Genomic DNA, 14105 nt, shown 5'->3' on the forward strand with positions numbered 1-14105 from the left:
ATCTTCTTTTTTTTTTTTTTTTTTTGAGATGGAGTCTCGCTCTGTCGCCCAGGCTGGAGTGCAGTGGCATGATCTTGGCTCACTGCAACCTCTGCCTCCCAAGTTCAAGCGAATCTCCTGCCTCAGCCTCCCGAGTAGCTGGGACTATAGGCATGTACCACCAAGCCTGGCTAATTTTTTGTACTTTTAGTAGAGACAGGGTTTCACCATGTTAGCCAGGATGATCTCGATCTCCTGACTTCGTGATCCACCCGCCTTGGCCTCCCAAAGTGCTGGGATTAAAGGCATGAGCAACTATGCCTGACCTTAGAACTTGGAGACATATCTTAAAGCCACTAAATATTTGGGGGGAAGCACTCTGAGGCTATGCTATTTTCTTGTTTCTCCTTAAGGCTTTACCTACTAATTTTTGTATTCATCTGTGGATCTGCTGCAATTATTATGGTGGCATTCTAACAGTGATTTTCTTTTTCACTCCTTCCTTTTACATTTAATATTTGAAATTCTTCTATAAAAAGGATTTGTCCTTTTTTCTCTCTTTGTTTATGTATTTAATCATGTACTTATACCCATATAGACTTGTGGCATTTATTTTATTATTTGTGCTATAATGCAATACTATTATTATTTTTAAATTTTATCTTATTATTTTGTTTACTATGTAATGTTTAAGATGTATTATAACCAGGGCTATATCTTCCCCCTAAAATCTATGAAAAAACCATCTGTGGCAGCAGTTTGGGAGGGATATTTTAGAAGATGGGGAGAGGAAGAATCTTGGCAAGGTAGAAACCCACATCTATAGTCCAGGGGTCTTGCCAGAGTCCCAGTTTGTCACAAATTGCCTAACATCTTTTGATGGATGGTTCCTTAAATGCAGCATATCCACAGCAAATTCATCATGATCACCATCCTCTTAGATACCTGGATCAGAAACCAGAAAGTCAAGGAGACCTGCTTTCTCTCTCTCACAACCAACGCTTTTCCATTTCCTCAGTGTCTCTATTAATCACTCGTTAGTTGGATTATCAACACATTTCCAATACAAAAGATTGAAACTTAGAGATGAGGATGGTAAAATAAAACTGCAACAGTATTACTGTTAATATTATATAAAATCTTATTAATCAAGGTAATATAAAATGCCCCTAAAATAAAGAACAGGAGTTAAAAATGAAATCTCAAAGTATCTCTTGGCAAGACAAATATCTAAATGAAAATAACACAGGAAAACAGGGCAAGGTGGTGATCCTTTTCCTCAAACAATTATGAGCCAATTCTAAGACAGATGCTGAAGTTAGAGCATCCTGGCCACTAAGCAACAAAATGGGAGCCTGCTATAGAGTGACAATTAATGCTTGTTGGATGGTTGGAAATATGAATGAATGAGTGATTACATCAATTCAATTTCTGAAGTCCTGAGTGCCTGGGTGTCACAAGAAAGAAGAGACAAGAGGCAAAATGCAAAACCCAGGGGCTGTGCTCCTCCATCTCTAGAAATTGAATGGTGGGGACCTGTTTCACTGTGTGTCCTCTGTAGTCCCTTCCCATCCAATCTGGTGTGACTCAGTTTAGAGAAGGAAGGGCAGCTCATCTATGACTCAACCTTGGAGCCTCTTTGGGAAAGTCTACTGCGAATGTGCGGGGAGTCTGTTCTAGGAATTTTCCAATGCACCAGAACTGCCTCTGGCTCCTACTGAACATGGTAGAATTAAATTAGGTTTTAGACAATCTGATTACTTGATTAAATTATTCATAGGAAGGTGATAATTTCAAAAGATGAGCTTGTCAAAAGATATGACTTAATTGGAAGAGTATATTTGGAGATATTTTTGAAATGCATGGTTATTTATATAAACTCTGAATACAGAAAACCTCATCCTGTGTCTTTCAGGCTCCCCGTTGGGAGTACCATGCAAAGGTAATGGCAAGGAGGTCCTAATATTGTAATAGAATCTCATTTTTTAATTCTTGCTAAAGACAATTATAAAAAAATTTTATTTCCCAGTGGTTGTTATGAGTTGGCAAAGGCAGAATAAAAGATTTGATAGACACAACCATGAAGATAGGCTGAGTAGGTAATAATCATGATTTATTGAAGGTCAAATTTTTTGAGAAGGTCATGGAAAAGGACAGCAACATATTTAACTGGAGCAAAGAACTGAGGTGGCCAGTAGGTCTGGTGCTACTGCCAGGAAAGAGAGAACTCAGGAGAGATGAGATGGCTGCTGAGTGGGCTTCTCTAGGCCAGAGCACCTGCCTCTGGGGCACCAAGAACAGACAGTTATAAATGAAAATGTGTTTATATTTGTTTTTTGCACAAAGATGCATACACACACACACACACAGAAAAATCACACCAGCACACACACAGAGATTGGTGTCAACTCTGTAGGCCAGAAAGCATTCCCTGCACACACATAAAAATAAAATACAGCCATTTTAATTTCACTGGGTTTTCAAGATCATTTTATATTGCTTGAGCATATTAATACCTGTAATGTACAGGACCCCAGGGAATTGGGCTGTATTTCCCAAAGGGGAATTGCATTCACTTTTTTACTATGATAAGTATCCCTACAAATATTTCAGGAGAAAATAGCACCTGAAAATTTATTGTCAGAGCCCAGGCTTTTTCTTCCAAACCCTTGGAAACTTAACAAAAAAATTCTTTCTTTAAATGAGAAAGAGAAAAGTAAATTATTCTTCCATGTAAACCAGTGGGAAGTTGCCAGATCCTTTATTATCTTGAAAAGAATCATGAAATCAACAATTAAAAAGTTAATTTAGAACATTTCCAACATACAGAACTTAAGCAGAGAGAGTAATATTTTTTATACATGGCTAATAATAAATACTGAAATATCATTGAAAATTGAGATGTTCTTGCCAGGTGCAGTGGCTCACACCTGTTATCCCAGCACTTTGGGAAGCTGAGGTAGGTGGATCATCTGAAGTCAGGAGTTCGAGACCAGCCTGGCCAACATGGCGAAACCCCATCTCTATTAAAAATACAAAAGTCAGGTGGGTGTGGTGGCATGCACCTGTAGTCCCAGCTACTCAGGAGGCTGAGGCAGGAGAATTGCTTGAATCTGGGAGGTGGAGGTTGCAGTGAGCTGAGATTGCACCACTGTACTTCAGCCTGGTGGGAGCAAGAAAAAAGAAAAGAAAGGAAAAGAAGAAATGAAGGAAGGAAGGAAGGAAAAGAAAGAAAAGAAAGAAAGAAAGAAAGAAGGAAGGAAAGAAAGAAAGAAAGAAAGAAAGAAAGAAAGAAAGAAAGAAAGAAAGAAAGAAAGAAAGAAAGAAAGAAAAAGAAAGAAGGAAGGAAGGGAAGGAAGGAAAGAAAGAAGAAAATTGAGATGTTCTAACATAATTCCTGACTTAGAGAATGAAAACATGCAGGTGTGCACAAATGAATGACTCTGCACAGATGAGAGACGCACTGGGGAGACAGGTAGCCTTGGAAGCTATGGGAGCTAAAGGTTCAGGATTATGGCATCTTTCAAGAAATTTGATCATAGAGAAAGAAGACATCCAGGGAGAGTCCTACAAAGAAAAACAGCCAAGTATGGTTTCCAGTAGAGGGGACTCAGAATGACATAATTATATTTGGAAAAATGACACATTCTAGAAGACAAAATTAGAGTTTAAAAAGTTTAAAAGTGAGAAGTAATGGTGTTAGAGTCAGTAAACTTATGTGTTGCAAATAGATTGGGTAAAATAATTTGATGCCATCATTGGAATTACAAATTTAAACTCTGTTTTTTTTTAAAGGACACAAGGATTATCTTAGCCAGCTGGCCCCCTTTGAAAAGCTGGCCCAACAGGACTAATATCTGAGAAAATCAAAATATGTGAAAATTCAGCCTCAAAAGTGAACATGGTCTATTACTGAAATTCTAGTTATATTGAAGAATTAATTAAAATAATATAAATATTTCCATATTTAGAGGGAAAGCATGCTGAAGTAAATATATACTCATTATACATGTAGATTATATATACAATGAATTCAGCCTATACTGATGTATTTTTGTCATTTATTGAGTTATTAAAAAGTTTAATAATGCACCTTCATAAATACTGAAGTCAAAATATAAGTCATCTTACTGATTTAAAATTTATATGATGTAAGTAATTCAACATTAGACATGCTTTAATCCAAGTGAAAAAGAAAACTATAGGTGGCTGGAGCTCAGGAGCACTCACTGAGTGCTAGCTACTGAGCTAGATGGGAAGAAATAGGAAGGTAATATCCAGTCCATGCCGAATTCCCTAATTCCCAGACAAGAGAGACCCCAAGAGTGCTATAAAAGCATGTGGGAGAGGGTAGCTCTTCTAGGTAGACCAGAACCCCCTGTGGAACATCTCATGTGGAGTGTAGCATATAAAATTTGTGTTAAGGGAGGAGTAAACTTTGTTCATGGTAGGGGAGGCAATTAATAGGTTTAATATAGTTTGTCATTTCGGAAGATTTTATTTTAATAAATCCCAAACGAGAAATTTTCTTTCCAAGCCCTGTGAATGTTGTAGGGATAGTTCATACAATATCCTTTATGGCAAAACATCATAAAACACCACTTAACTGAAAGGAAAGCTCAAAGTTAAACAATAGTGAAAGCACCATTAATTCACTACCTTAAACTGAAAAAGAAGAGTGGAAAGTGCTAGAAGAAAGACCATTTCCAAGGGATCCTGTTCACAAGAAGTCATCACAAGCTATTAAAACATCAGTCAATGTCAAAATGTCTTTACTGCACTGACCCACAGGTCATTTTATTATCTGATTCCAGGAGTTGTGGATGGTACTATTTGCCAGAGGCACAAGAGAGCAAATTGCATTGTAGGAAATCAGGAGTCAAGATCTTACACTGAAATAAACACCAGTGTACCTGTTAATAAATATCATCTATAGTCAAATGAAAAATTAGCGTTACTCCTGTAAAGTATTAAGTTCAGTCAGACATAGATCCTAAATGAGGGTTAAAAATTGGATACAATATCAGTGCAAGTCTGGCATAATTGCTATTATGATGAATGCAATTCCTGGGTCATTTATCATTGCCAGGCAGGATGCTCTTAGCTCACACATGTATTTCCTGGATAGAAAGAGGCCTTATGGTTGATTATTTTGTCATAACCAGAATTTATTTTTCTGCTGGGGAGGGAGACGGACTTATTTGAAGATGGAAAAAGGCCGTGGCTAGCACCAGAAAATCAAGAATTTAGCACACGAGTGCTAAAGTCCACAAAACAGGTTTCAACAGATAAACAGACAAAAGTCACCAGCTGCACTTGGGGATGAATGAGGAATCCTATTCATTCTGGCCTGTGACCTAGGAACTCAGCTTCTGTTACCAGAAACATAGCACCTAGCACTAATGAAGACATGCCTCCAAGATAAAGAAGAGTGCTTTATCCCCTTAGACAACAATCTCAATCCCTAGTTACCCAGACAGCAGAGGTCCATACTGCCATGGCTGCAGCCAGTCCTGGGTGATTCACTCTGCCTAAAGTCCAACCATTCACTAAACTGATATTTTTTTTCTCCCATAATCCAACAGAACAACTACAGCCCAAAACTAAATTGACACATGCACAATTATCAGGTAATCATTTTGAGTAGTGGTCTTGTACTAGCACACTCACATACCCAAGCTAAAAAAAAACCATTTGAAAAAAATAAACCATTTGCCAAAGCCAGAGCCAGGGGAATTCACCTGTACAACCAGTTCCAGACAGAGCTTTGCCTCTGATTTCCCTGTCTACGCTGGACTACATGTGCACGATGATAAATAACAATGCTGTGCTCCAATTACTGCGTAAGATGGTCTTTGAGCCTCCTGAACAACTGCCATGCCCAGTCTCTTCTATCTCCTGACATGTAAATCCCCTGGCTACGTATATCTGATCCTGTTCCTTCTAGATTCCATGTGTATCTGCTCTTGCTTGTCAAGTTAGTAGTGATGGGTTGGATTATGTGGCATCAGAATAAATGTGGGTAAATATTTCTATATCAAGCAGAGAAAGACTAAAAGCTGGTTATCTGGCTTAAGACAGCCCAGTCTGTGTCTTTTCAGGAAGTACAAGTTTTTTTTTTGTTTGTTTTGTTTTGTTTTTGTTTTTGTTTTTGTTTTTTTTTGAGATGAAGTCTCGTTCTCATCCCCCAGGCTGGAGTGCGATGGTGCAATCTCAGCTCACTGCAACCTCTGCCTCCCGGGTTCAAGTGATTCTCCTGCTTTAGCCTCCTGAGTAGCTGGGACTACAGGTGCTTGCCACCACATCTGGCTAATTTTTGTATTTTTAGTAGAGACAGGGTTTCACCATGTTTGCCAGGCTGGTCTAGAACTCCTGACCTCAGGTGATCCACCCGCCTCAGCCTCCCAAAGTGCTGGGATTACAGGCGTGAACCACCGCACCCAGCCAGGAAGTACAAGTTTTGACTGTTGGAGCAACCAGTACAACTCCAGGATTCCAAAGACTGGATCAAAATTTGAGAATAGTATCTGTAGGTCTTAAGCATTGTCTGTGGGCATGGATGGCTCTTTTTGATTCACCATCACAAAAATCAGCATAATTCTCAACTTCTTAAACTTGACTTCACATTGGAATCACAGGGAAGCTATTCACAATATGGGGCTTTGACACAATTAAATTTTAAAGATAGGACACTGGCATTAAACACACACACACACACACACACACACACCACCCCAAGATAAATCTACTGTGTAGACAAGATTGAAAGACACTGGTTCAGAGTGACAAAATGTTTAGAGACCTGTCTCTGGAGGTAAAAATATCAGTTCCATGGTCAGGTTGACACTGGTCACACAGTGTAATGTGGGCAACTTTCTCCTCTGCAGTGGTAATGTTCATCCCCTTGCTAAAGCGTGGTCTGTTACTGCAGCACCTTTTTTACCAGAGTTCCTATGTGAGTCCAGATTTTGCTTTATTTCCCCTTCTAACAGCAGGCTAGAAAAAAAAAAGATTTTGCTTCATCCAGACATGCCTGTTGCCTTAATTTGTACTTCATTAAATACATAAAGATATATGTTCTGCTCTAAGTCAATGTTTTCTTTTTTCTTTTCTTTTCTTTTTCTTTTTGTTTTTTGTTTTTTGTTTTTTGTTTTTTGAGACTGGGTTTCATTCTTGTTGCCCAGGCTGGAGTGCAATGGCACAATCTCAGCTCACTCCAAGTTCTGCCTTCTGAGTTCAAGCCATTCTCCTGCCTCAGTCTCCCAAGTAGCTGGGATTACATGCACCTGCCACCACGCCTGGCTAATTTTTCTATTTTTAGTATAGATGGAGTTTCACCATGTTGGCTAGGCTGGTCTTGAACTCCTGATCTCAGGTGACCCACCTGCCTGGGCCTCCCAAATTGCTGGGATTACAGGCCTAAGCCACTGCACCCAGCCTCCAAGTCAATTTTTTAAAAACATGATATGTGTATTCATTTATGGCACTTGCATAATAAAAGCCTGATTGATTGTGTTTATTTCAAAATATCCCAAGTAAGTCCCAGTGAGAAACTGAACAGAAATGATAGTGGTGATTCCATGGGCAACAACAGACATAATTTATGGAGAAAATACAATACAAATGCCTACATTTCTCATATTACATTACCTTGATAAATTACTTATCAAAGATTAAGAGAAAATACCTGTGCCTATTGATAAATACATGCTTACCAAGAGAAAATGTCAAGACTAAGATTGTCTAAAATGACAAATGCTTAAAATACTGACATCCGCTGCTATATTGGTGGCATGAGAAACTGTAGAAAGATGTTTGAAATCCCCTAGAGGTGCGCTAAAGATAGATGATGAAATCATTGGTGGAGAAGGAAAATGTGTGGGTCAACTGCAGCACCCTGGAGAGCGCCTCTGCCATACAGCTCACTTCTTCATGCCAGCTGGATCCTGGGGCAGAGGATTTCTTCTGGGGATGGGTCTCTAATATGAGGGTGGGAAGTGATCTTTAGTTGCCAACACCCAAACTATAAGGCATTTGATTTAATCTTTGCATTTTTAAGTTAGACTTTCTCTCTCTCTCTCTCTTTCTCTCTCTCTCGTGTGTGTGTGTGTGTAAGTTAAACCCTATGTAGGTGTATGTGTATGTGTGTGTATGTACACACACAGCATTCCAATTGCCTAATAAAGCATACCTGATATTCTGTGCCTACTAAAATTCTGATTGCTTCCTGACCATCACACAGCTCATCTCCTTCCCATTAATTTTATGCAGATGTTGCACTTGGTTGCAGTTTATTCTACACTTCACTTTTAAGATGGCCATGGTGTCAGAATAATCAATTTGTGGCCTTCATTTCATGAATTGGACCAAAGTGAATGAGATATTTGTTTTCTTGTTTTGCTTTGTATTTTCAAAGCAAGGAGCAACAGGCAACAATAAGAAACAAACAATGCCTGTCAGCTTTCCATCTCCAGCTTTATGTCTCTGTTGTAACTGGGGTATCATTTCTGCCCTAGAATACTGTTAGTACTGCCATTAAAATAGAAACTTTTCCATGCAAAACTGGTCTAAGGTTTTTGGCGTTACCCATGTAGATCTTTGTGATGAGTGAAATTTCCATTCAAGTCTTTATAGTTGCTTTAATAGTCCTGATCTACTTTTTTTTGAAGATTTGTTTTTGAGAATATGTGAACAATTTTATCGGTATTTTCTTAAAGAGACTCATTTAATGCTTTTTATAAATTACTAAAATTATTAATGGAGTTGTGTTAGGCATTTTAAATGCTAATAATTCCAGACTTAAATATTAGATTGCCATTAGACAATTAAATATTATTTGAAGTAACCAATATTATAATTAAAACGGGATTAACACCTTAAATAATATGAACTTTATTTGGTTGCAAAAGGTAGGAAACAATATAAGAAGGAAAAAAATAGGATGTTAGGACAGAAAGTGACTAAGCAGAGATGGGGAGGACTGATTTATGCTGGGTGATGAAGGGATGTCTCTGTGTGGAGAGCCAGGTGTGCAAAGAAATGGGACAGAGTTTCCAGCCACAGAGAACTCCCAGTAGTCGTGAAGTCAAAATGAGCTTGTGAAGTGCATGCACAGAAAGAAGCTTAGTAAATGAGGGAGACAGTGGGAAGAGCCAAGACCTCCAAATTACACAGGCACCAGTTCATGTGCAGGCTTTTATTCCATTGCAAAGAGCGTGGATTTTATGTCAAATACAATGGAAAGGATGACAAGCTATGTTTTCTATTTTAAGATCACACTGGCTGCTGTGTGATTTTATTATAAGAACAAAATAATAGAAGTGAGAATACAAATGACAATACTATGCAGTAGCACAAGGAAGAGGTGGCTATGGGTGGAGCAAGGAGGTAGAGGGAGAGAAGTGGGCATAATAGGAGTGCAGACAGGTAAGATGGAACTGGCTGATGGATTTGACATTGGAGGTACACACAGTAAGAATTAAAGATAGTGTTTATGATTTTGGCATGAGCATTCGGAGTGATAAATGGCTTGTCGTACCATTTGCAGTTCTGTTTGGACAAGACTGGAAGAGGAAAAGATTGTGGAGGGGCAGAGGAATTTAGAGTTCTACTCCAGCCACATCAAACCTGAAATGCCACTCAGGCATCTAGGTGGAGATGTTTAGAGAAGTCATGGGTGGAGGTAGCAATTGGTTAACCTACATATTACTAATAAAAATGTAAGAACAAATGCAACTGCTGAAAACTTGAATGTACATTCCTGAAATTGTTTTGAATCAAAGAGGAAATTCAAGCCCAATTACTAAGCTTTTGGACAATAATATAGACACTGTGTGTGAAAACTTTACAAAACATATTGTAGCTTTTCTGAGTAGCAAATTTTTATGCTTACTTTCAAAATTGCAAAGATTAAAGAAAAACACAGAAAATGAGTAGTCTTAATAGCATAAGACAAATTCTAGAAGAGTAGAAAGAAGAAATGCATGAATAATACCTCTCTACTGGTCTGCAACTGTGTCTTTATCTAGAACCTCAGCAGCAAAAAATATGTTAAATATGTTATTTGAGTGTAATTCTTTCATGCCAGGAAAAGATCTCTGGAAAGGCCAGCACTCTCAACTGATTCAGATCCATCAAAAGAATTCTAGTACAAAATGTCAGCTGGCAAACAGCCTTTATAAAACCTCTTCCAATTTCCAAATAAAACAGGCCAATCAAGAGAAAATTTTGGAAAATAAAACTCTAAAAAATAAACTTGCCAGTTATTCTAATGGCAGAATATTGGCCCCGTCTTCACTCTTCAGCAGATGGAACAAAATGGATGAAAAGCTGCCCTACTTATGCCCTAATACGGCTGGGCTTCACCTCATAAAGCTGAGGCCAATACACAGAACAACAATTTCTGTATCTCTGAGACACTGATGTGAGAGTTGTGCATTCTCACCACCTCCTCCAGCCTCCTCTCCACCATCATTTTCTTTCCACAATTTAGGATACTTCTAGCTCTTCAGGAGATCCCAATAGAAAAGTCAGAGAACAAATTTCTATTTTCATTTTTTTTTGAGGCAGAGTCTCATTCTGTTGCCCAGGCTGGAGGGCAGTGGCACGATCTCTGCTCACTGCAACCTCCATCTCCAGGGTTCAAGCAATTCTAACGCCTCAGCCTCCCAAGTAGCTGGGATTACAGGCACCCGCCACCACACCCAGCTAATTTTGTATTTTTAGTAAAGATGGGGTTTCACCATGTTGGCCAGGCTGGTCTCAAACTGCTGACCTCAAGTGATCCCCCCACCTTGGCCTCCCAAAGTGCTGGGATTACAGGCATGAGCCACTGCGCCCAGCCCAAATTTCTATTTCATATTAGATCATCTTATGCTTCCCATCACCTCCACCTCCCAAACTCTGAATCTTTTCTTTTGTACTGTTCATATTACTAAGCATAACGATATTTGATTTTGCAGATTGATTCTAAAAATAAACAATTGGTACATAATTATCACTACTTAATATGGTTTAATACACAAATTGCATACTATGATTATGCTTTCCTTTCTCTAGGCCTAAAGTCATGACCCCCATGACTTTCAGATGAGACTACTCTGGATGCAAATGTGAACGGCTTCCTGTACTGCACTCTGCCATTCCTCATAACCTCTGGGCTGATTAAAGTTCAATTAGTTGGAACATTTTATTTCTCTCATTCCCAAGAGTCTTTCTGGACTCCTCTATAAGTGTGCTCTAATTAGAATTAATAGATGAGTTGCAAATTTGTTTATCCTGTCTTTGCATTTATTTTCTATTTTCAGAGATGATTTTAGTCTTTTAGGTTTGAAACTTTTCCCCAGTATGTAAAGGCCTTCTTCAATCAACCTCTGGTGAACTGAGTGCTAAAGAGAAGCCTGTTTATTCAAATACTCTTTATTCCTTCTTAGGATATTTTATTTACATTCTAAAAGCTTTTAGGATGTATTAAAGTTTCATACTGATGGATTTAGTTGTGGATCTTCGTTTCACTAAATGTGCTGGGCATTCACTGTACCCATGCAATCTGCTGCCTGTTGACCTTGGCAGCACTGATATTCCCTTTTGGACTCTTCCTCTATTCTCTTATATGTGTAAATGTTTCTAAATATTTAAATCTTTACCTCATTATTTTGTTTTTTTGAGATAATAATCTTCAACATTATTTTAAAGGTATTCTATTGAATTAAATTGATTTGTTTTATATATATACATACACACATTGATGTGTTTGTGTACTCGTATAAATATATAGATGTCTGCCTACAAGGTTGTCAATGAGTGGTTTGTAAGATTGATTTGGCCTAGTTTCACTGTGTTGTTGCTTAATTCTCCTCTGTACCCTGAATCTGCATCATTATTTTGTTCTAAGCCTATTTTCTCCTCATTGTTTTTAACTCATCTTTCTCTTTCCAGTTGCCAGCTCTCCTCGAATGTGTTGGTCACCATTCACATTTAATACATAACGACTGTGCCCAAATGCCACACTAAGAGACCTGACCAAACTATAGCATGACTTCTAGCAGCTTCGGGTCACGTCCTCAGGATGACCCTATCTGCCTTTCAATGCCCAATTGAGAAACCTCAACATTGCCAGAAGAATTTACTGTTGGTTTTAGCCAAAACCCAGTGATGGCCAGATAAACCCCTGGACCACCTCTCAGAGCAGTTAGTTTAGAAAGCTTACAGTTCTAAATCCTTTCTCTACCCCTTGGAGATATAAATCTTCTACTGCCCAGAACTGTCTCCTCAAGGACCTGGGAGCCACCTCTTTGAAATGCAAACACTCAAAAAGTAGCTCTCACTCTCTCTCCCAGTCCCTGAGGGAGGGGAAGGGCCTAATCTCAGAGGTCACCTTGTTCCAACTTGCATCACTACCTCCTGTCATGAAGGTATGAGATGTTTGTTTCTCCTCTATAAAGCACCAATTAGCAAACTATATTAGTCCGTTCTCATACTGCTACAAAGAACTATGTGAAACTGAGTAATTATGATGAAAAGAGGTTTAATTGACTCATAGTTCCACATGGCTGGGGAGGTCTCAGGAAACTTAAAATCATGACGGAGGGCAAAAGGGAATGAAGGCAGCAGGAGAGAGAGAGCAAGAGGGGAGGTGCCATACTTTTAAACCATCAGCTCTCATGAGAACTCACTCACTATCATGAGAACAGCATGGGGGAAATCTGCCCCCATGATCCAATCACCTCCCACCAAGTCCCTCCCCTGACATATGGGGATTACAATTCCAGATGAGATTTGGGTGGGGACACTGAGCCAAACCATATCACAAACCCAGATTGGCTAGTCTCAGGGATCAAGTCCATCATAATGCCCTTCATTGCCTTTTTTGTTTTTTTGTTTGTTTGTTTGTCTTGTATATCATAGCATTTAAAAACTCTCTTGCCTTTTGTTTTGGCAGAATTCACCTCAGGCTACAGTGGGTTTTTTTGGGGTTGTGTCTTTGTTTTGTTCTTTTGCTTTTTTCTTAGAAAAGGTCTCACTATGTTTCTAGGCTGGTCTCAAACTGCCAGGCCCAAGTGATGCTTCCACCTCAGCCTCTCTAGTCACTGAGATTACAGGCATACAGTGGGCTTTAACCTCTATTGCAGTAGTTATCACTAAATAAAATCTGTTTTTATCACCTTTAACTAGTGTCTGGCTTTTAAAAAAAACTCGTTGAGAGTGACAATCTTTGATTTAGGGTACCAGTGCCTCAATATCTTTCCTAGGACTGGCCCCCAAAGAGTTGATTTGTTTCCTTTAGAGAAACATCTTTCAATGTGTTGCCTATGCAGTAAATCATAAGCTTGCAATCCACTCTGCTTTGAGTAGGCTGGAGCCAGGGCCAGGGTTGATGCCAGTGTGTAATACTGAGTTGCTATGAACTCGCTTTTTATAGTCCTGCCTCATTCTTATACACATTTATAACAACCTCTCTAAGCCTCAATCCTCCGTCTCTGCAAGCCACCTTCTCTCCTTCTCATCTGCAGCAGGCACTCTGTTATGCATCTATTCTCACCTAAGCTTCCTCTGTCCTGCTTCACTAATTACCATTCCTTCCTCTGCTTTCTGCCTTTTATCCACAGCAAGACCTATACAAATATATTTGTTGTTCTCATGGATTTATAACATTTGAATTGCATTACTACTCTTTTTAAAGAGAAGATGTAAATATAAATAAGTGATTTTTTATTGAACTAAAAAGTACTATGTCTACTTCCTTAGCTTATAACATATTGAAAGACTCTTCTAGAAAAATACAAACTACCAAATATTTGCCAAGAACTATGAAAAATGAGACATCATTAAGTACAGAAGATGCAAATCACAAATGTTCACAAATTGTCTTTAAAAACATTGATAATACAGATTTGTAAAAAGAGTAATTCTGATTTATAGGAACCCGATAATTTCAAGGAATATAAATTGACCTAGAGAATAAAATAAATGTGGATATTTTTCTAATGTGTTGTGACGAAGTTAATGTGCAAGATTATCTTAGTGAGATGTTAATTTTTCTTTCACCTATACATTTGAGTACTGTTCTTTCAATCTAGTAAAGTAGTTAGACCTTTTTTGTTTCCTTGTTTCAAAGATACGTCTAG

General features: G+C 38.5%; 2 long non-coding RNA genes across 3 annotated transcripts in view; both read left to right on the forward strand.

Moving 5' to 3' along the window:
- The window catches only part of LOC107986796 (uncharacterized), a 43869-nt gene extending 32209 nt beyond the window's left edge, over positions 1–11660 (forward strand). Inside the window, exon 3 of the long non-coding RNA XR_001745210.2 lies at positions 11038–11660. This is a non-coding gene — a long non-coding RNA (uncharacterized LOC107986796). The remainder of the gene's footprint in view (positions 1–11037) is intronic.
- Positions 1–14105, forward strand: part of LOC124901810 (uncharacterized) — a 152886-nt gene that overhangs the window by 73566 nt on the left and 65215 nt on the right. The window lies entirely within an intron of this gene.

This window comes from Homo sapiens, chromosome 7 (assembly GCF_000001405.40).
Source record: "Homo sapiens chromosome 7, GRCh38.p14 Primary Assembly".
Lineage (NCBI taxonomy): Eukaryota > Metazoa > Chordata > Mammalia > Primates > Hominidae > Homo > Homo sapiens.